The sequence below is a fragment of the Homo sapiens genome, chromosome 8, assembly GCF_000001405.40.
Source record: "Homo sapiens chromosome 8, GRCh38.p14 Primary Assembly".
Taxonomy (NCBI): domain Eukaryota; kingdom Metazoa; phylum Chordata; class Mammalia; order Primates; family Hominidae; genus Homo; species Homo sapiens.
This window is the reverse complement of record NC_000008.11, coordinates 109,097,711-109,122,413: the sequence shown is the minus strand read 5'-3', so window position 1 is coordinate 109,122,413 and position 24,703 is coordinate 109,097,711. Positions and strand designations below refer to the sequence as shown.

General features: G+C 37.2%; 1 protein-coding gene across 1 annotated transcript in view; it reads right to left on the bottom strand.

Moving 5' to 3' along the window:
* TRHR (thyrotropin releasing hormone receptor) overlaps window positions 849–24,703 on the bottom strand; it is a 34,981-nt gene continuing 11,126 nt past the window's right edge. Inside the window, exon 3 of the mRNA NM_003301.7 lies at window positions 849–3,366. Coding sequence (NP_003292.1) covers window positions 2,959–3,366 — 408 coding nt within the window. The 3' untranslated portion in view covers window positions 849–2,958. The remainder of the gene's footprint in view (window positions 3,367–24,703) is intronic.

Sequence of the window (24,703 nt, the reverse complement as noted above, 5' to 3'; positions counted from 1 at the left end):
ACATGTTGTTCTTATTATTCCAACATAGTCTTCTGAAAATAAAACACTTCAAATATCCATCAAGACTTAGTTGTACTAAACTAAGTTTTATGGCTGTAGCTTTTCCTTTGACATTGCTAATTGTTTAGCCAAATCAGCCATTAATTTTGGTATATTATCAGGGTGTATTGTTCTGTACATTCAATTTGTTTAAGAATGACTGTAAAGTTTGGACTTGTCTTATTTTTCTTCAGCATTTAGAATATTTGCCTTGTATGTTAAGGTCTAGAAATATACTCACAGCCCTTAGGTCCTAAGAGGGAATTTATGTTTGTTCATTTTATTCATGATCTGTGCCCTTTACTCAATTACCTCAGGTATGATATCTAACCAAAGACCCTCAGCAATTAATGAAATTGGAAGTAACAAAAGAACACAGGGAATTTTTATTAAGGAGGGCTCTTAATAACATTACTTGATTTCACCAGCAAATTTTAAACTAGCTCTTTATTTCTCATTTGGTGGTATATTAAGTTTTGATTATTTGTGGAAATATTTTATGATTGAGTATAGTGTGATAAAGAATATTTTAAAAAGTTATATCTCTTCTGTGTAAATTCAAATATCTATTGGACATTATATAGGAACATTTAATTTTAAAATGGCATTTGCTTTAGAGTTAAAACACTATGAACTGAGTTCTTATGAATTTCCCATGTGGTCTAAAACTAACAGATTTTTGAGAAATAACTTTTTAAAAATTAAAGTGAAAGAATTCAGCCCATACATTAAATTTCCAAAGATAAGAAGAGCATCTTTGTATTCTGTGTATATCATGTTAAACTAATTGTATTTTTTAACACCTGATATAATCATTCTGCAAAATCCATAACTTTTTATTAATTAGGAATTAGGTCACAGGAATACTGGTCTAATCATCAGAGAAATTACAGCTGTAGTGAAATTGTGATGAAGATAATGTTGATTGACTACCTACCAGCATACCTGAGACATAGTCGATGCTCAATGATATTAGGTCCTTTCTGTAATGAAAAAATCTCGTATATTCCAATCCCCTTTTTCACCAATTTATGAACATGTGGGTATGTGTTTATAAACACACATGTGCTTGTGTGATTTGGGGTTGGGTCACTCTGGTGCTCTATTTATATGATGCCAAGATTAATATTTATACCAGAATGAAAAGTCAGTTAACATAGATTGCTTACTGTCATGCAGGTAGGGTTTTAGGGTATTTCCTGCAAATATTTGCTTGCATTCATTTACTGTTATAGTAACAGGATAAAAATGTCTTGCTGGAGTAGATAAGGCCAATTTTCAAAAAAAAAAAAGCGCACTCTAGAATGAGGTTCTGGATAGCATAGTCTCCATGAAACAGCACGTAAAAACAAGTTTCAGAAGAATGGTATATTCTTCATTAAGAAGATGGGGAGGCATAATTATCATTAGCGATTAGGTTCTAGAAAAGTCCATAAAATAGGGATATAGGCTGGAGAGGGAAAATGACAGCCTACGGGCATGTAAAGGTATGGGTACTTTTTTGATCTACTCATTAAAAATCAATGACTACTGAACCATCACCAAGGGCAATTTTTGCCCTCGGAGATTCTGGTTGGCCAAATCTCAATAGGTAAGAGATTCAGGTAGGAACTGACAAGTGTCCTGGACAGATTCATTCACAAGTCTCCAATAAACACTGGAATAGCAGATGTCAGTCATAAATATAAAGATGACATACTGATAATATGATGAAATCAGTTTTAACTCTGCTGAAAATAAAGCCAACAGAATTTTGCATTGCTTTTAGAATCTGTAAACAAAATATCACTAGCATTTGAGAAAAACAAAAAAAGAACCTACAAACAACAAGCAGATAGGAAGGAAAGACAATTGCAGTCAAGGTAAAATCCATAGACTACAATTCTCAGTGGGAGCTCTTTATCTGGAAGAGGGATACCAGGATTTTGGCTGACTTAGAATAACAACAAAGCTTTTAAGAATGTTTCAGACTTTTCAGCTAGATTTTGCTTGAATGATTTGCTTGACATGGCTGAGTAGTTTATAAACAAGAATGTTCAAAAAGATTTTATTGCTTAAAAGCGTCAGAGAAGAAGCAAAATCTAATTATAAATACTTGCTTTGTCTTGACTATACTTTTCAAATTTAATTGTATGTTAGTTTGTATCTTCACAGTTACTTAATCTGGGCTTTTGCCTTTTTCCACCCATCATGTGGGAGGCTGGAAGAGTTGATAAGAGTTGGATTTATCTTAAAATCTACATTTCTCCTTAATTAATAATTTCAGATATTTTGAGGTTTATTTTACATTAAAGTTGAGTGATGATTATCTACCTTCTAAGATATAAAAATCATCTCAGAATTTTATAAACATTATGGCAACTTTTAAAATACAGTTAACATGTATGTCTAAAATCTTATTTTTACTCAATAAATAAAATGTTTCTGTAATATTTTTCCCTTTAATTTCAGATATTCATGAACTAGCCCTGTACTATGTTAAAATGAATACTAAATGCAAACATTTAAAAATCTGCATGTTGTCAAATTATCGAATGTATAAATAAATTAGGGAAGTTGAAAAGTGACATTTGATAAGGTTACTATGAATAATGTAAATTGATGTCTAGATTTTATTGAAACTCTATAAGTCCAGAAAATATAGTGAATTTCTTAAGTTAAATGAAAAGGGCTAAACTTTAAGTTTCCATCATTTAGCTATTTCACAGATCTGCTCCATTTTTAGTGATATTAGTTTGTAAGAAGGAAAGTCTGAATCATCCTCATGGGTTAAAGTATCTAGGGCCAGAATTTGTTAGAGCATTGACAAAGACTGATCTGCTCTGTCTTCACATATGACTATTGGCCATGTTCTCCCTTTTGTTGATGACTGCACAGATTCTCATTTTCTTTGTCATCCATTTTCTTCTAATTCATGAATCAACTTTGGCTAAAGGATACCTCAGAAGCCAAGCAGGTGTCATCAAAAGACACTTTTGTGGCAGACAGGTAAGTGTCAGTGACAGTGATATCATCAAGCTCTGTGCTGAAATGGTCTGACTCCTTGATGACGCTGTAATTTAGGGCCACACTGTAGTTAGCAGGTTTCTCTGTTGGCTTCTGCTTGCAGTTGCAGAGCTTTCTGAAGGCTGCACGGAATTTCTGGGACATGAGATTGTAAATCACCGGGTTGATGGCACTGTTGAGATAAATGCAAATTCTGCAAAAGAGCAAAAACCAATTTTCTTGGAAAGGACTGGAGAGAAATGAGTTGACAACCACTAGAGTCCTGTAGGGCATCCATAAAAGGGCAAACAGAATTACAACCACTGCCAGCATCTTGGTGACCTAGGGAGAAATAGAGAGAAATGCTGTACAAACACAAATGAAAACAAAACAAAACCCCCTTTCTTCTCTCACCCAAACCTTTAGTTCCCAAAATGTAGTCTGAGACAAGGAGTTAGGTGCAGGTCATTTATTGGGGAGGTGATCCCAGGAAGCAGGATTAAGGGTTATCAATTAGAATGCTATAGACAAGGAAAAGCCAAAGTAGGAAAAGCCAAAGCAGTGTGTTATTGAGATAGCTCCCCCTATAGCCAACTCTGGCTCAAGTAATGCAATTGAGAATTATCTGTCAGAAGTAAGAGAATGAATGCCAGCGTCCATTCATTAAAGGATATTGTTAAGGACTTTAACTCCTGTGTACTTCCAGGATTCTCTTGCCTGAAAACTCCTAGGGCCTTTAGAGAGACACTTGAGGCCAAGAAGAGGAGAGACAAATGGTACAGTGGATGCCTGAAGTGGGATATTTCCCACTGCAGGAACCATCTACTGCAGCTATGGCTGAAATCAGAGTCTTGTAAGAGAATGTTAGCACAGGGCACCAAAAGTGTCTGTGACAAGCATTAGGAGACTTAGGGTCAAATCCTTTCCTTACTTACCCTATGTGTGGCCTAAGAAATTATCTTAACCTATCTTATAGCTCATCTGTAAAATGGAGCCAACATTGCCCTCCTAAATCAAATGAGGTAACAGTGCATGAAAAGAATAATGCAAAAAAGTCAGTGTTTATTGAATGTTTAGTGACTGCTATGTGCCAGACACTATCCAAGGTGTTTATTTGTTACCATGTTTAAAAAGTTTTAAACCTCCTAAAATAGGTATTGTACCCACTACTTTTTCAAATTAGAAAACAGGTACAGAGGCTGTTAAGTACTTTGGTGGAAGCTGTAGAGTCTCAGGGCTGGGATTACTGTCCAAGTGAGCTTGAATTCAAAGCTTTTGCACTCTTTCAGGTTAAAGGGAAGTGAAAGAGAGAGAAAGCAAATGCTGGAATTTTACCTAATGCTGAAGCCACTCCTAAGTATAAGCAATGCACAGGAAGTAAGACAATAGGTAGGATGAGGTCAATATCCCAGATTGCTCACTGTTCACTGAGCTTCATTCTGACTCAATGTATGTAGGATATTAAGGCTACGTATCTTACCACTAGGAGTAGAAAAATTGTTCAGTGAGAATATGTGATTTCACACTGGTTCATATAATACCAACTAAGACATTCCAGAGATTCTGACTTCTTTTAGAGCCAAAGAGGGTCTACTTAGCAAAGGGGTTAACTGAAACATGATTTTTCCTAAGTAGACTTTAAAAAATATATATAAGTAAATAATTAGTCATAGGAAATCAAAGTGATAAATGTTCTAAGCTTTGGAAGGAGATGTAGTGATTATCATCTTCATTGTCATCATCACCATGATCTTCGTCATTATGAACCACACCCTTGCCTTTATTCTCTGCTTGGTACTCCAGGCACTCTGAAATCAGATCACTGCTTCACACTTGTCAACATTCTCCCACTCCCTGTCAGGGGTAAAGCATCCTACATTGAAATACCTAGTTTAATTTACAATTAGATCTATACCATCACATTTTAGTCCTTTAAGATGGCCCAAGTAATCTGAAAAATGCCATATAAACATTATCTTATTTAATACTTATAGTAATTCCATGAGTAAGCTAGTATTCTTTTCATTTTGCATGTGAAGAAATTGAGGTTTAGGTAATTTATATGATTTGTCTACAGACACATGAGTAGTAAGTGACAGAGCTGTGATTCAAATCTGTCTACTTAAGACAAAGGTCATGCTCCTTCCTATATACTTTGCCCTTTCCATGAATGTTTCTTGCATTTTCGATAACATTTCTACTGTGTTATTTCCATTATGATCACCCAAACACTTAAATTCTTCAATTATAAACCCAACAACACTTACTGCTGCTAAATTTCAGAAGAAAGGTTGAATTTCAACTACCTTTATCTTTCCCTACAACTGTCAGGTAAAATGTTGAATCCACAAGTAATACCTACCTGCCTCTTTTCACGGAATGTCAGTGAAGGGAGCAACTTTCACTGTGTTGGAGAAGAGCAACCTGTTTCAAGGTTAGTATCTCTCCTGTGCATTTCCACAGCGCCTCCAGGCATACTTTGACATCATTCCCAAACATTTCATTGCAGTGACCTATACTTGTTGATCTCTCAAATAAATAGTAAACTCCTTCAGGGTATGGGAAAATTTCTTCATTTCCCTACTCTCAGGGATTTAGTGCACTATGTGACATAAAGTGGCCCTAAGAAAAAACTTGAATACATTCAGGCATGGAAGGAATTATTTTAAAATATGTAACCATAGGTCTAAGAAGAAAAGAGAGAAGAATGAAATAGACACAATAAAAAATGATAAAGGGGATATCACCACTGATCCCACAGAAATACAAACTACCATCAGAATGTACTATAAACACCTCTACACAAATAAACTAGAAAATCTAGAAGAAATGGATAAATTCCTGGAGACATACACCCTCCCAAGACTAAACCAGGAAGAAGTTGAATCCTTGAATAGGCCAATAACAGGCTCTGAAATTGAGGCAATAATTAATAGACTACCAACCAAAAAAAGTCCAGGAGCAGAAGGATTCACAGCCGAACTCTACCAAAGGTACAAGGAGGAGCTGGTACCATTCCTTCTGAAACTATTCCAATCAATAGAAAAAGAGGGAATCCTCCCTAATCCATTTTATGAGGCCAACATCATCCTGATACCAAAGCCTGGCAGAGACACAACAAAAAAAGAGAATTTTAGACCAATATCCCTGATGAACATCGATGCAAAAGTCCTCAATAAAATACTGGCAAACCGAATCCAGCAGCACATCAAAAAGCTTATCCATCATGATCAAGTGGGCTTCATCCCTGGGATGCAAGGCTGGTTCAACATACGCAAATCAATAAATGTAATCCAGCTTATAAACAGAACCAACGACAAAAACCACATGATTATCTCAATAGATGCAGAAAAGGCCTTTGACAAAATTCAACAGCCCTTCATGCTAAAAACTCTCAATAAATTAGGTATTGATGGGACATATCTCAATAAGAGCTATTTATGACAAACCCACAGCCAATATCATACTGAATGGGCAAAAACTGGAAGCATTCCCTCTGAAAACTGGCACAAGACAGGGATGCCCTCTCTCACCACTCCTATTCAACATAGTGTTGGAAGTTCTGGCCAGGGCAATCAGGCAGGAGAAAGAAATAAAGGGTATTCAATTAGGAAAAGAGGAAGTCAAATTGTCCCTGTTTGCAGATGACATGATTGTATATTTAGAAAACCCCATCGTCTCAGCCCAAAATCTCCTGAAGCTGATAAGCAACTTCAGCAAAGTCTCAGGATACAAAATCAATGTGCAAAAATCACAAGCATTCTTATACACCAATAACAGACAAACAGCCAAATCATGAGTGAATTCCCATTCACAATTTCTTCAAAGAGAATAAAATACCTAGGAATCCAACTTACAAGGGATGTGAAGGACCTCTTCAAGGAGAACTACAAACCACTGCTCAATGAAATAAAAGAGGATACAAACAAATGGAAGAACATTGCATGCTCATGGATAGGAAGAATCAATATCGTGAAAATGGCCATACTGCCCAAGTTAATTTATAGCTTCAATGCCATCCCCATCAAGCTACCAATGACTTTCTTCACAGAACTGGAAAAAACTAAAGTTCACATGGAACCAAAAAAGAGCCCACATTGCCAAGTCAATCCTAAGCCAAAAGAACAAAGCTGGAGGCATCATGCTACCTGACTTCAAACTATACTACAAAGCTACAGTAACCAAAACAGCATGGTACTGGTACCAAAACAGAGATATAGATCAATGGAACAGAACAGAGCCCTCAGAAATAACGCCGCATATCTACAACTATCTGATCAGAGTAGCGTATAGGGTGTATGGTGATATGAAAGACAGCTTCTTTACGTCAGCCTCTGCCCTAAGATTTAAAGGTCCTTGAGAAATAGCATGACACAATCTTTGAGTAAAAATGATCTTATACTATACTTTTGATTGGGAAGGAATCTATCCATCCATTCTAAGTTACGCATTTGCATCCCTACTGTGTATCAGTCAATGTTCTGGTTCTTGATGATTTGACGGTGATCCAGAGAGACATGGCAATGCAATCATGTACCTTAAATCTGATGAACAATTATAATACAATATGACAACTGCTAATACAGAGGAATGTTTTGGTTCTAAGAGAACCCTTGATATAAACTTGGGGTTGAGAAGTCATTAGCAGGGGCTTTCTGATCCAGTTAAAATCTTAAGATAAAGAGAGACGAGAAGACTGTTCTTGCAGAGATTAAGTATGTGTGACAATCTGGAAGTGTAACAGTGGGTATATCATGGGACTAGAAGTAATTTAATGTGCAAATTCCAATTGCAGACCATGTAATGAAGTAACACTATCTCTTTTTCTAGTAATCTTGTGGAAACCACTACAAAGTCATTACTTTTATATGATAAGATGATGTCACACTCCGTGGAGTGCTTGCCTTCCATTCCTTCTGTCTTCCCTACAGAAAGAGAGATACAGCTGCAAAAAGGGGTACAGGCATATTGAGTTCTGAAAATGTTGGCTCTGTGGAGCCATTTTAGTCAACACAGAAGCAGGCAGCCATTTTTGTAGAGTGTATTGAAGGCAATCAAAAGAGATTGCAAAAATTAATGGATTAAAATTTAGTATTTAGAGAGCGAGCTTGCAGGCAGAGATAGTTGAGGAAAAGGGTAGGTGAGAACATGAGGGTCTAGGCTTGATGGCTTGTCCTTGGCCACCCTACTAAGTGTTATCTTCTTTGTGAATATCAGCTGGAAATTTTGATACCAAACTCTGCTATATGTTTTTCAGTCTCCACTGTATTTAAATATGTAGAATAAGTGGCATAAACCTCTCACAAAAGTTTGGATTCAGTCCTTCTCAACACGCCCTTTTGTCATCTTTATAAAGCCTCCAGATAAGGATCCTATTCAGGCAGTTATCTTTTATAAATGTGAATTGGACAGATTTCTTATTGCTAAAATTAAGATTATACTTCCTCAAGAGGGCTATATATGCAGTTCAACCCTGCGTATATGTGCTGCATGGAAGAAACAGGCTAATTGGGTTATCTCTTCTAGCATGCTTTTGAATCTTCTATTACTAACTACTATTATTGTAACTACTGCTATGACTCTTACTACAAGTTCCAAAACTATTAGCTAACATCTGTATATTGCCTATTTGTTTTTAGAATAGTATTAGATTTATAGAAGAGTTGTAAACACAATGCAGACAGTTTCTATATACCCCACACCAAAGTCCTTCTATTATTCACCCCTTGCATTAGTATGGTAGATTAGTCACAATTAATAAATCCATGTCAATAATTTTTATATGGAGTTAGTTAGCTCCATGCTTTATTCAGATTTCCTTACATTTTACCCAAAGTCCCGTTTCTGTTGCAGGATACCATCTAGAATACCACATTATCTTAGGTGTCACAGCTCCTTAGGTTCCTCTGGGCTGGGACAGTTTCTCTAACTTTCCTTGTTTTGATGGTCTTGATAGTTTTGAGGAATACATCAGGTATTGTATAGAATGCACTTTAAGTTGAGGTTAGCTGATGTTTTTCTCATGGTTAGACTGGAGTTATGAATTTTTGAGAGGGAGGCCACAGGAGTGACATGCCATTCTCAACATAACATATCAACCATTCTCTCTTGAACCTGCTCCAAACAGGCTTGCCAAAATGGGAGAAGATGTGAAGTTAGCGATAGTAAACATATCTTTTGAGAATTTTACTGGAAGAGGACAGTTAGGGAAACTGTTCTAGAATAATGAATAGTCCAGTGCACAGTGTGGGGGTGGCCTCATCTTAAGCATATCCAGAAAATCATTTTTAAAACATCTGCCTCTTTTATTTCTTAGTCACACATTTAAGAGATCAAGAAAATGCATGAGAAAATGACACCTTTCTCATCAATGCTCCAAATCCTGAGTGGAGTTCTGAAAGCAGTTAATTGTTGAATTCTCTGAAATTAACAAAGTTCTTTTATTGTAATTGAACCATTTGAGCCATATTACTCTGAAATTTGTAGGACAAGTGTTATCATTACCATTTCATTGATGAGGAAGTAAAAACTGAGCTTAGAGAAGCAGAGAAATAAAGCAATACAGCTTATACATATAAGTATCAAAGTTAGCTACCCAACCAAGGTTTTCTGAGTCTAGCTCTCATTTTCTTTCCAGATAATCACACAAAATCAACATAAATAGTGAGTTGAAGAATTTTAATCACTGTAAATATTGCTTATGAACTATTTGAAAGACATAATATTGTTGCCAGAAATCATTGGTAACTATGGAATCATGGGGGTTTTACCCCAAACAGGAGTGCTACATTCAGAAAGCACTGATTAGGAAGAAGATTTCGTAACAAGGGAGACAGAACTCCTTCATACTCATCTATTTCCTGGGAGGGAAAAAAGGAAAATTAAAAATGCAAAAATAATCAAATTTTAAAAATGAAAACTTTTATTTCTTGGGCCACAGCCCAGTTAATAGTATGCCATTTATTAGGTTCTGGTTACATAGTATCTGGGGACATTTTGATTATTTGTCAGAGATTAGCTTATTAGTTTGCCTAGGGAGTCATAAGGATTTGATTCATACCTCAATTCCCTAGAAGTTTTAGTCGAAATTTTTGTACTGATTCAGAAAAAATTCTGAATTTTGATTCTATATATGATTCAGAAAAGGTTCTGTGCATGCTCATGGGTCTTGCTAGTATCTGGATACTCTTGCTTTGGAAATAAAGGCTGTGGCTTTGTCCTTCTATGTGTTATTGAATGACAATATGTAGTAGGTATAGAAGAAAGAGTTGGAATTTGCATTCAGCATCTTGGATTCACAGTCCTTTTCTGCCTCTGAAGACACTGGGCAGGTCATATGACTTTTGTCTGAATCTTATCTAAATTCCAGGGCAATCTTAAGTTGTGAAAAAGCTCTGTTAGTACTAAAAAGCAAAGTCATATACCAGATGGTGACAACCTTATCATTAAACTTGTATTTGAAGACTACCTCTTTTATAATGAGTGATTTTCAAGAGCATTATAAGCAGATAACTTTAATTTGTGAATAGACTCTTTATCAATTTTGGATCCCACTTTGTATAATGCCAAAACCCTTTTTTGGCTTCATTCACAAAGTAAATCAACAAAAAACCTTCACTTCATCTGTACTGCACAAAAGGTTGGGAGAAGTCTTTAGTACATATGCCTGACACATAAGTACTGAAAGCACAGTTAAATTATTATTGAGTAAATACTTATTTTTCACAAATGTTAAAATATAATTATGGAGTTATGCATCGATTTAGAATTCTTTCAATTAGCAAAAGTATGCTAGTTCTTGTATTTCTTCTGGCTGGAATATTCTCATTTTCAGAAATATACTTCTTTCTGGAAATATTTTCTTGTTAATGAATACAAAACATTTAGTCTTTAATATTCTAATGCCATTCTTCAGAGGGTAACTATACATTCTGTGCTTGGACTCTGCCCATGTTCTCCAGTATTTCTGAATATTAACAAAGTGTCCTGTAACTGGGAATATTATACTCTCAGATGGCCCTCAGCAAAGTGATCAATGACTATTTAAATTTTGTTACAATAATTGGGCCAGCTGAATGAACTTAACATGATAATTAAACAAATCTGAATTTAGCCAAGCTTCCACACTAATTGGAAGCTCTGGGAATTTCTTCTTGCAGATTATTCTGCTTTGTTTTGACTTATCTCTGGACATTCAGTTTTTTGTTTTTGTTTTGTTTTGTTTTGTTTTGTTTTTTTGAGATGGAGTTTTACTCTGTCGCCCAGGCTGGAGTGCAGTGGTGTGATCTCGGCTCACTGCAAACTCTGCCTCCTGGGTTCAAGCGATTCTCTTGCCTCAACTCCCAAGTAGCTGGGATTCTATGCGTGCACCACCATGTCTGCTAATTTTTGTATTTTGTAGAGACGGGGTTTTACCATGTTGGCCAGGCTGGTCTGGAACTCCTGATCTCAAGTGATTCACCCGCCTTGGCCTCCCAAAGTGCTGGGATTACAGGCGTGAGCCACCGCACCCAACTGACATTCAGTTTTTAAAAGACAGTTATAATCAATGTGGGGTGCTTCATATCATGGAGTGAGATCATTCATGGGGCTTAAAAGTTGAATGATGGGGCTACAAAAGGGCTTGACATCAACTTGTCAGTTACTGTGTAATAAAAGTGAATAAAGGCTGAGTGATGATTCATGGTGGGAAGACCGTGGACTGACATACTCTGTGTTGTGCATTACTTATGGATTTCTTGCCAAGAAGCCACCCAGGGATGCTAATGCATAGGTTCTTGACTTCGCTTGTCAAGTACTGAACCTAAATGTTTCATTCAGAATAGCCTTTCTGGCAAGCATTATGGAGTGTTTTCTGGGCTCTATTCTGATTAAAAATGCTCAAGAAAATATTAGCAGGGATTCACAATAGAGAAACTTTGGTTGTATCTGATAAGGCTTAAGGAAATAGAAGAAGGGCTAAAGAAAAAAAAAAAGTGACATAGGATTTTTATTTTTGTTTTTCTCACAGACAAGTTATCGATGTCACCCAGGCTGGAGTACAGTGGTGTAATCATAGCTCACTGTAAACTTGAACTCCTAGGCTCAAGCAATCTTCCCATTTTGGTCTTCCAAAGTGCTGGGATTATAGGTTACAGTCACTGTACCCAGACAGGATTTTTAAAATATAAGTTTATAAGTGTGGCACATCCAGTGAAATGGGGAAAAAAAGTTTTTTATTCACAATTCTAGAGTGTGCTGAGAAAGATAGGTGGGGTTCTTTTATGAGCAAGACATTTGAGGGGACAGGAAACTATATATCTCAGGGGGGCTGCATGCACCAGTAGGGGCATGAGCTGACGCTGTCATTAGGCGGATATCATAGCACAGATGACAGTAGGAGTTACAGGATGACATAAAGCTATGTAGAACATGACATGACCCTTCCTCTGTGACACCTTCAGTTCTCTAGGAAAATAACTTAGCATCACCAAATGTACGTGTGAAGGTACTTCCAGTGGAAAATCAACAGAGCTCTGCTTCTCACTCTGGTGTGGGATGAACCCTCAAAGCCTTGTACTTTCTTTCAAGAAGAAAGTTAGAGAGAGGCACACATACATGAAGAGTGGGAAAAGTGATGGGACTTTGAGCTGTCCTGGTTAGTGGAACTGGGGTTCAATGCTAAGTTGCACCAACATTTCTCAGTGTAAGAGAGGCTCCAAGTGATAGTGAGCCTTGCTTTCTGAGAATCAATGACAGTCTATGTGAGACAGGAACTATGCAGTGCTTTCTGAACACATTTTAATCTAGAATGGAAAAAACTAGATGAAAATTGAAGGTATTCTAATCTAAGTAATAGGAATTCACAGATTAAAGGAAGAAAGATAATTAAAATATATGAAATACTTAGTATGCACCAGGCATGGTGCTTAGTATATTCTTCATAACGGCCCTACTTTTTTTTTTTTATTATACTTAACCTTAACGGCCCTACTTTTTATCTGCATTTTAGAGAGGATAAGACTGATGTCAGAAAGTTTATATGCTGGTGATCAAAAGCCACACTTTTGAGGCATTGGTATATCAAAGTGATATATTGGACTCCAACATCATCTTTTTCTCTTTACTATTATGCATTGAATTTTGGGAAGGAATATTTTTCCTGAAATTTGAAAAACCTAAAAACAAAACTTGGGCTTAAAGGTCGGAATTGGTGGAGGTCGTATGTGGGAGGGGAGCAGGGAGAATGAAAAACTAACTCTTATTTCTACACAAGAGTTTATGCCTATCGCACCTAACAAAGGTATTCTTATTCACGCTGTGATACTAAGTCCTTATGGAACATATTTTTAAAATGTTTCTGATTTCAGTGTTCTGCTTCGAAGAATGGAAAACAGCTGTGTGCTAGGTAAGATTTGCATCTAGACTTGAGGATTAGATGTAACACTTTCTGCAATACTAGCAACTATTGTAGTGCTGAGGTTTCAGTATTGATTGTGGAGTCTGGCAATCATGAATGATGAGAGGTTGGCCTTTCTCCTATTGCTTGAATGTTTTCTTGTTCACAGGAGGTGAATATTTGGAAACACACTGAGAAAGAAAAACTCAACTGGCAGAATTTGGATTCAAATTACAGTAACATCTAAATTTAGAAAATAAAATGTCATTTTGAATTATTTTATGAGCCATGCTGGAAAAATGCTACCGTTGATCTGCCATGGGCTGAGTTTGCTATTTAGCCTTTTCTAAGTATTCTTTCTTCTAGGTATGTTACTGGTAAATAGCTAAGCCTGTGGAAAAGTCTGCCCTAATATAGCTTGCTTTAATTTTCTTAACTTTGCTCTCTAGGGTATGGTTACCTCTCCTGGTTATATTTTCATTTGGAACTAGTTTTTAGGAATTCTAATTGGGCATCTAGGCTGGCTCTGAGCTGCTAGCTGTAACACTTCTCTGAAGACATTGATCTTTCCCAGGGGAGATATTTCACAGCCTCTTTTCTCCCTTGTGCTTCTCTGGCTATATAGCCTGGTAAGGGTAACATTGTAAACAGAGACACAGATAAGTGATTCCTCAGCTGCTTACCCAGTAGGGGCTGGGAAATCAAAGGGGATATTTTAAAATGTAGAATGCAAATGATGGAGAAGGAGAGAGGTGATGGTGATCCTTAAATAGAAGTAAAATTCTCAGAGCTGCCCGATTTTTAAGAGGGCACTTAGTTGTCTTGCTTCTAAAAATCTTGGACAAAGTCCCTCATCGTAGAGCTGGGAGCACCTGGGAGGCATCGGACTCCTTCTCCACCTGTGTGTCTCCCGAGGGAGACAGCCTGTACTATGCTCAGGCCTGGAGTTACGGAGCTAATTTTCTAGCTGTCCTAAAAGAACTCACAGAGTCAGCCAAGGGATAGGCACATTTTCTTTCCTTCAGCAAACCATGAATTCAACCTTTTCCACTGATTTTAGCTTTCTGATCAACTAAACATGATACTCAAAATCAGAAACCTTGGTTTTAAGTTTCAGCTTTACAAACCATTGCTACTCAAAGATTTTTGAGCCTTAATGTCTGCATTTAATGTGTGAAAATATATGCATGAGGATTCATTACAAGGAGAACATAAAAACACATTGTAATATGTACTATACCTTTCTAATATAAGGGGCTGTTATATTCTTTATCTTGTCTTGAAATCTGCATCCTTGATAAGAGGTGCCAGCTTTATCACTCTGTGTTAACCTAGCAGACTGAATGGAGTTTCTTTGCACTTATCTGCTTCTTCACTACTTGATTAAGAACATAATTTGAGCCTACAAACCATGCTGGCCCTGGCTATGAGTTCCAACATTCAACACAGATTATTACTGCATCAGAGTCTCTTTTGGATGATATGGTCAGGGTTGGTTTGCAGTATTAGTATAGTGGTGAAGGGGACAGGCTATGGAGGCAGACCTCGCTGGAATCTAAATCTAGTTCTGCCACTTACTATCTGTATGGCATTGGATAAGACATTTCAGCCTTGTAAACCTCAGTATATACGTCTGTGAAATACAAAGAGGTACGAAGAATAAATGAGGTAGTTTAGGTAATGCACCAGCATAGGGTATGGTTCTCAATAAAAGACAGCTAATTTTCCATAATTTAAGGGGATGAGATTTCCCATCACTGGGGAAAGGTGTAGTATTTAACCAAATGACAGATGAAGCCTTTGATGATAAATAATAATAATATCCTATTGAACACTTTATATTTTAAACACAGAACCGGGGACTTTATTGAATTATTTAACTTTTATCGTATTTCTGAGGCAGGTATTCCATTCTCTTTATTATACAACTGAAGAAAAACAGATTCTGAGACATTAATAATTCTGGAGAGTGGTAGATATTAATTCTTCTTCAAGTTACTTTCCCTCATGTCTCCCTGTCTATTCATTTGTGCTAATAGTCACAACCTGAAAGGATCCTGTTCCTTCATTGGCTTACTTATGTATTGTCTCTCATTATTCCATAGAATGATGCCTCCTTGAGGGTTTCCACTCCTTTACCTGCAAGGGGCAACATGAGGCTCTGGCACTTAGTAGGTGCAATAAACGTTCAGGAAATGAATGAATAAACAAATGAGAAAAATAGTTCATGAATGCTAGTCTAAGTCCTGCCTCTGTGGAGTTCCATGTTGCCATTTTACATTTCCATTCCTAATCACAAGTGTCATTATTATATTGTGTCTGGTTTCTTTCCTGGTATATAAAAGGGCAGGATATGTATTACATATTTTTATCTCTAACTTCTAAAACAAGTTTGGCATCAATGTGTAAAGATTCCTTCTCAGAAAAGGACATGATTGATAGAGCAGCATGCAATTACAGTGAAGAAAATTTTTTCGGGGAACAGTCTGTTATTCTGTAGAAATAAAGAATTATTGGCTATATTGTTATGAAGAACTTAGGAAAAATAAAGAGCTAAGGGAATGCTAACTCAATATGATTTATGCTAAGTTTATTTCCTATTACTGAATATTGATCGGCACTATGTTAATATATACCAACCTAAAATGGGATTTGCCTCCAAAAGATACAAAGCTCAGTTTGACAGGTATTCTTGCTCTGTCCTATCTGTCAGCTGTCATATTCAATCTTTTGTTGCTCCTCCTTCACTCATGAAGTTGTAGAAGGCTATTTCTCATGATGCCACTCTGTATCTTTAGATTATAAATTGGTATTTTTAGGGCCTGTTGAAATAAGCAGGCTCCAATATAACACAGAAAGCATTTTCTTTAGGAGATAAGGAGTTAAAATGAAGGCAGGGGATGCACTAGCTGCTAGTTTAGGCTGCCTGTGATAAGCTTGCTCTTTCCTGCATTTGGCAATTTTGTGGAATGCAAACATATTTATTTAATGTGTATTTATAATTTATCTTTTCAGCAATTATCATACACCAGTACATGTACCAAGTATATAATTATTTTCACAAATAAATTCTTTAGGAATGGCTCAGGAGTCAGCAAGCTTTTACTGTAAAGGACTAGATAGTAAATATTTTAGCCTTTGTGGGCCATACAATCTCTGTCACAACTACTTAGCTCTGCCAGTGTAGTGAGAAAGCAGCCATGGTCAATAAATAAGGGAACAGGCATGGCTTTTTAAGTTCTACTAAAAATTTAATTAGGAAAACATATGGATTCAATACAACAACATGCTCTGAAAATGGGCTGTTTATTTAATATCTCTGACTGCCCTATTTAAATTAGACCCCTCTCATTTCAGCATTTCATTATTTCCCTTATTTGCTTGATTTTTCTCCACTGTCTGACAGGTCACAACTTGATATAATATGGGCATTTGTTTTTTATTCCATGTTTTCCCATTTCTCCTTAGAAAGATAGCTCCATGCAACAGGAATGTTTGTCATATTTGTTCATTGCTGTGTTCCCAAGGTCTAAAAGAGTACTCGGGATTCAGAGATGTGCAAGTATTCAACATATTTTTGTGGAACGAATGAATGAATGAATTTAATTGTCACACATGTAAGACAATGTTCCCTTTTTCTTGGGCAGATATAGCCTCTATCTCTGCACCTCATTTCTGAGAGTTCGTACCATTGGCAAGTGTGGGAAAAAGCAGAGAATAGTGTTGCCATCAAAGACTTTGGATTAGATTCTAGGAATTAGTGTTTTTGCTCTTCCATTTTTTGAATGGGTGACCATGAACTTAATATCACTAAATCTTATAGCACTCATCTTTAAAAATCACAGGATAAATTACACTTATGTCATAGATACAAATGAGATGATGTGTGAAAATCCCTTAGCACCACCATGCCTGGCACATATAACAGCTCAGTAATATTACTTATTATAAAGGTTAATTAACACATGGACACATATGCAAATGGGACAGATTATTTTCTGGATTATATTGTTAGATAATCAGACATGTAGTCTGTTGCATTAAATATATTTATTCAAGAGATGGGGTGTTTCTATGTTGCTCAGGCTGCTCTTGAACTCCTGGGCTCAAGCGATCCTCCCACCTCAGCTTTCCAAGTAGCTGAGATTACAGGTATGAGCCCCGGTGCCCAGTTACCAAATGTGATATTAACTGAAGAATTTAGGCTAGAATATTTAAATAGTGATGCTTGAAGTGGGATGGGGAAGTTTTGTGAGGGTTGTAGAAATCACCTGGGGGGATTTTCAAAACTATGCTCTCTGAAGAGTCTGCAATGTTGCCTCATCTTTAGAATTTGTCTTGGGATGTACCTCTGCTACTGATGGGAAAATGTCCTGTTCTTCAGGGGTTTTGGGTGAAATAAATGTTGACAACAACAAATTTGCAATATATAAATTTACAAGGTATTATATTAAAATATAATACATTCAAATCTTCATAATGACTATAAATGGCAATAAATATAAAATATTGGCCAGGTAGTATACAAGGAAATCACTACTCGTTCCAAAGGCTTTTGTGCATAGCATTTCCCCTAGCAGTACTACATAACACTTTACCAAGATGTTTTACTTCTGAACGTAGACATTTCTATTTCTCTTTCAGAAAAATGGTTTTGTGAATTTTGTCCTTGCTAATCATCATTTTTCAAGTTGTCTTTATGATAAATTTTTGGTGCTTTTGAAAGAATATTTTATATTGCTCAGTGTTACTAAGCAACTTGACTCTCTAGCATTAATTTTTGGAATTGTGTTTGGTCACTTTAGCTGAAGAAGAAAGATGATATTACTGAATATGTAGAATTCTGACTGTAATAATTTTCCACTGTAACTCTTTAAAGATAGCAGGCTACCTGGCAGTGGGCTTATATTTAGGAATCAGTTTGCAAAAATCTAGTCTACTTTCCTTAAAGTCTACCAAGATCTTTCTAATGAGAACTAAAAATTATTTGAGATGATAATTCATTTCATCACAGCCCAGAAGTTTCTGTTTTTTGACTAACAATGCATATAAGAACATGAATTTTCTTTCTTCTGGTGCCTCAGTGTTCATGTTTTTTAAAAAATCAAGATTGCTTTCTCTACTTTTGGTATATGCATTGGCATTGGTCTGATTTAAAACATGTTAATGATGGGAACAGTGAGCCCGGTGTGATTTAATAACCTTTCCCGATTGATTATCCTGAGGAAGTGGATGCAGTTGAGGAGGAGTCAGCAACAGAAACTGTTATTCATTAGCTTAAAAGCCATGATCAGGCAGTTTTCCACCTGCCTCAATTTTGGGTCTGCATTGGATTTTGAGTGGCTGACACAGACTTCTTGAGTTGGGAGAGCTCCCCTAAGGAACAACCAAACATTCTGCATGATGCTCAAGTGTGAAGAGTGGTAGATTGATAGAGAAAGGCTTTCTGGCTTTTGCCTTTAGTACTCTTGATGGTTTTGTTGAGGCACAAAAAAGCCACTATACTTGCACATGAACAACAAGAGTCAAGCACCCTTGATCGATCCTGTTTATTAAGAGCATTCGTACCTCACACTATCACATTCCTTTGAGGTCAAGGCAGTAGCAAAATAAAGTCAAGTACTGTGTGCAAAATGGAGTGCGTTGCTTTTGTCACAAGGCTAATTGAATTGCTTCTAAATGTGTTTCTAGAATTCTTTAAAGATAAAGTGGAAACAGCCAAGATATTTGAGGGAAAGAAAAAAAATGGACTGTGAACATAAGACATGTCATCAGGGAATGCTGATAAAGGAAAGACCTGGTTTAAGATGTGAGAACAGAGTTATTACTCATAAGTTTGCCTTGTTCACATGTTTTTGAGTAAGGGATGTATTGAGGCACTTGGCTTCTATTGATTTGGAATTAGGGCTTCAGACGGAATTTTTTGGCAAATGAAGAAATCCCTGCCCTGTGGATGTGCATCCAATATGATTCAGTCTGGCCTCTAATTATAAGATCCTTGCCTCAGTGAAGGGGAATAGAGTGCTAAATATGAAATCGTACCTGTTTTGGGTGTGTCCCTGGCTGCAACAGCAAAGGAAACAACCTTGAGGACCATGCCAGCTAGCTACTGGCTAATAAAGTGGCTCTTCTAAATATGGTTTATTGGGAATGAGTCCCAGAACAGACTTACTGGGAAGTGTTTAGATGTCACAAAGAAATTCAGATCAGCTGTAATTTACTACCACACCAGTTCATTTATTTTTAAAAAAATGAATGGAACTTATCAGTAGTCTACCCATCCCTACTTCTTACATTTCCCACAATGAACAGCCATGCCTTTTCTCCTTGCCATTACCCTCATTCTCAATCAATGACTTTCCATTCTACTTCACTGAAAAAATAGAGACCAACTTGCTAAACTCACAACTTTCTTCCTCATTACTTAAAATTAATCTGCAACCATGATCATCCTTATTTCTTTTCTTTGCATCTCATTCATTTCTTCTTTAATTCACTCATTTATCTATTTGTTTGACAAACATGTATTGGATACGTCCATGTACCAGATACTGTGCTAGGTGCTGCAGACAGATCAGTGAATTAGGCACAATCCTTTCTGACAAGAAAAAGAAGGATGAGCCCTATCCTATTCCTTCTTGCCTCCTCAGGAACCATGCGCCATCAATATCAAGTCTTGCTTGTGCATCTACAAATAATTCCTTCCACTCTACTAGCTCTTTCCCATCAAAATTTAAACAGACATAGATTTCTTCTATCTTAAGAAGTAAAGCAAAATAAAGCAGACAAAAATACCTTGCCTCGTTTCTCCATGTTATTACTGTTCTCTCTCATAATCAAGCTTGTAAAGACAGCAGTATATTCTTACCCTCTTTTTAGTTTTTCCTCCATTCATCATTCAGCAACATTATGCAATCTTATTTATTTCCCCAACACCTTATGGAAATTGCATTCAGAAACTGGGTACTTCTCAGTCCTTATCTTTACATTTATCATTGACCACTACTGAAATAGTCTCCTTCTTTGATTTCTGTGATTCTTTCTCCTGGTTTTCCTCTTCCCTCTCTGAATATTCCTTCGCTGTTTATTTCAAAGGCCCTACATCTCATTCTCCCAGAATTCTAGCTATTCCAGAGTTTCTTTTCTACTTTACAAAATTTCCTGTAGTGATCACATCTACTCTGGTGTCTTCAACAAACCATCTCTATACTAATTAATCCCAAAGCTATATCTCCAGTCTATATGTTTCTTCTGAGCCTTAAATCTGTATTTCTATTTGTATCCTGGTATTTTATAGACGCTTCAAGTACAACATGGACAAAACTAAACCTGACATGCTTAACCTACTGAAATATGTTTCTTCTCTACTGTTGTCAACACTTACATAAGTTACACTATTCAATTAATAATAACAGTAGCTAACATTTATTATTTCCATGTTCCAGGCACTGTGAGAAGTACTGTATATGAAATTTTGCACTCAACCCTAATAACTACCTTGTGAGATAGGTACTGTTATCATTCTTTTTATAGATATACAAATGAGGCTCAAGGTTGTAAGTTAACTTGTTCACGTCACATAGTCTGCAGCCAAACCTGGCTCTCGCTCCAAGGGGTGAAATTGGAATTCAGGCTCTCAACAGTCACACCACTTTCTCTCTCCATGGTTCAAGTAAAGTCACTTTGACTCCTTTCTATTCCGCTTTCTACACATCTTCTCACACCAACTCTATTGATTCTATTCCAAATGTATCATTTTCTTCCCTATCCTCAATGCTATTTACCTTATTCTGTTAGGCCCTTGCAGATTGATTCGTATCTTGCCCATATTGTTCCAGTCCTCTCCTAATGGCTTTGACTTTGGTCCAATTATTTGGCCACATTGGAGACAGAGTGGTCTTCCCCAAACTTAACTCTGATTACAACACTCTTTGCCTTGTAATCTCCCAATATCTTTCCATAGCCATTAGAAGCTTGTCCAAATCTTTCATATATATACTAAATAAAGGCCTTATTTCCTGATCTCTGCTTACCTCACTAGGCTCATCTTTTGTTGCCCAGACTTAAGGAACTACTTGCCATTTTCTGGACTGATTGTGTTATTTCTAGATTTCTGGTCTTCACCTGTGTAGGTCCTAGTACATAAACCATCTTCCTTCCCTTCACCTACAAAATGCCTGTGAATCCACAATGCTCAGCTTAAGAGTGCTCCTTTCCAGAAAGCCTTTCTGGTGCCCGCCTCTCCACAAGCCATGTAGATCAGGTGCCACTAATTTGTGTTTTTACTATGATAACATTTGTTTCTTTATGACTTTATCAGCTTACTATTCTGTCTTCTGTATTAGATTGTGAATGTTTTTGTGAGCATAAGCTTTGTTTTAATCATTTTTGCATCCTAATGGCTAATAAAGTCCCTGACATTTAGTATGTTTTTAATTAAATCATAGGTGAGGAGATGCAAATCTGTCCGAATCTATCTGATCCTTACTTTCACCATTTTCCTGTCCCATATAATATAACATGCTGGAAGGGATTGTAATAATAGAATTACTATTTTAGAATTCAAAAAAAAAACCATGCTTAATTCCAGGATAGCACCTCTACTGTGCACTGCAGTTGTTTTATGCCAACGTATTGATTTGATTGCTTTTAACTTATTCAGAGAGATTTCCAATTGATTCCTAAAGAAATCCCTGGAGGTCCATCCTAGCCCCTTATAATCTCTAGTTAAATATTTCTCCCGTAAATATACTCTGAATCTGAGCCTATTCCTATTTTTCCTGGTAAAACAGAAAATCTACCAGTGAATTACTTTCTCCTGCCCTCCCCTACTGAATTTTATGTGTGCATAATCTTTCAAATGTTTGTCAAGTAAAATTAGTCACAAAGCCGAACTCCTATCAGAGGAAACATGGCAGGGTGTCAATTCTGCACATTGCCAGGGGCTTGAGTCACTTGACTACACAAAAATGATCTTTAAAAATTCATGGGGTGCTCTGCATTCACCCTGCCTCTGTCCTCTCTCACTCTCACAATTGTGCCACCTCTCTCACTGAGCCACTTCCTTATTTTCTAAGCTAAGAGCTGCTGCCCACAGAAAATATGCTGAGTTTCCCCATAGTCATAAATCCTCATAAAACTCAAACAACAAAGGCCCAGAATGGAGAGGCATAGGATGATTTACTTTCTTGCAGCTACTATATAATTATATTCAGAGCAATCTATCCAAGGATTATAGCCAAAAGTCACCAGTGTTGTTTATGAAAGGTTGCAGTGTTTTCTTTTTTGAAATGTTATCTATTTTTATTTCAACTGAATATGGCTGTCAAGTGTTTCACATTATGCATCCTAATCCATGTGCATATGTATGTGGCCTTGTTTAATTCTCAGAGCTAAATTAGCTTTAAATTTATTCAAGTTCTTCTCATGTACTTCCATGCAGCTCTCAAGTGTCGTGTTTGACTCCAGTGGCAAGACCATGACTTCTGTTTTAGATAAATCCACTTACTCTTTTAATTTATTCTTTTAACTGCGTCTCCCCTTGCTCCTTGGCTCATTTTTCTTTAATTTTACTCCCAACTGAGAGAATCCACTAAAACGTGTCTTTGGCCCTCTAGCCATGTCCAAGAGGAGAAAATAGGTCCTTTTATTTCTAGCTAAGTCTCCCATCCCATTTTAGCCTCCTATTTGTAAATATTCTAGACCTCAGTGTTTGTCAGTCTGCTCTTCATGCTTTAAATTCAACCGCCACCACACCTTTCCATTATTATGATTCACAAATCCACTTTGCCTGATCCTGACCACTCACTTCCAATCCCATATTTCTAACTCCTCCATAAAACTCCTCCTCTTGATGTCTCTCTGTAATCTCTCCCTTACAATTTCTTTCAATAATTCTACCATTTTCTGTTTCCTGAAAAACATCTTTAGAGTCATATTTGATTCTTCCATGTTCTTATCCTGTATATCCAGGCTTTACTAGTTTAGTAATTTATCAGTATGTCCCTAGGCACCATGGAGGCACCGTGGACACAACAATAAATAGGATCACGTTTCTGCCATTGTGGGATGCACAATCCGCTGAGAGAAAGGGGCATTTGAAAAAATTATTAACGGCAAAATGGTGAACCATACAGATGAATGCACAAAGTGATATAAAGGGAAGGGAGAAACACCAAACCCTGCCAGTGGTGGTCAGGAAAGCCTGCTCTGAGAGGTGACCTACCACAGGGAGGATAGAAAGAAACAGGTCAAATAACGGGCTACCGAGTGCTCAAGACTGGAGGAGTCTGCATGCTGGCTTGCAGGCATGAAAGAGTGTAACAGAGACAGAAATTGCCTGTATGAGGGTGTGTTGGGGGACAGAGGGCAGATGAGTTTGGGAAAGTAAGCAGGGAGCAGATCATAAATGTCCTAGTATGGCAAGATAGTGACTTGGGATTTCAGCATATAGAAAATGCGAAGATTGAAGGATTTCAGGCAGCACAGTGATGGTAGCAAGTTTGCATTTTAGATGATTCTAGCAGCAAGCACCCTGGAAGAAGAACTGGAGGAGGGCAATCAAGAGGCAGGGTGTGGGTTGGGGGATGCAATGGCTGATGGCTGTAATCCTAGCATTTTGGGAGGGCAAGGTAGGAGGATCCCTTGAGCCCAGGAGTTTGAGAGCAGCCTGGGCAACATAGTGAGACCTCGTCTTTATACAAAAATGAACAAAATTAGCCAGGCATGGTAGCACACGCCTGTAGTCTCAGCTATTCAGGAGACTGACATGGGAGGATTGCTTGAGCCCAGGAAGTTGAGGCTGCGGTGAGCCGAGATCAAGCCACTGCACCCCAACCTGAGTGACAAAGCAATACTGTCTCAAAAAAAAAAAGAAAAAAGAAAAGAGGCAGGGGGATTGGAAGGAGGCTTCTTCACATGTGGCAAGGCAGGAGATCAGCCTTCTTGCCTACAGTGCAGAGAGGACACAGTGGAACTGGAACTGCGGTCATAAAATAGAAGGGAGATACTGGATGTGGGAGGAATTTCAGAGGAAAGAATTCCATGTATAATGACATGAGGACAGTAGGGAATTTTGAAATAGGAATTTAAGGAATAAAAAGAGGAAACTGATTATGGTTCTGCAAATGTATAGACAGAAATCCCTGAGGGCCCATTTGGAATGGAAACTCCAAGGGTGAAGAAACCATTGTCTGTAGAATGTGATATTCTCTGGCATTGCTCAATAGCTTGAAGAGAAAACTGAGAAGGCAGGTGTTGGTGGTGGTCTTGGGCTTTGTTTTTCTGGCCTCATTGACTACT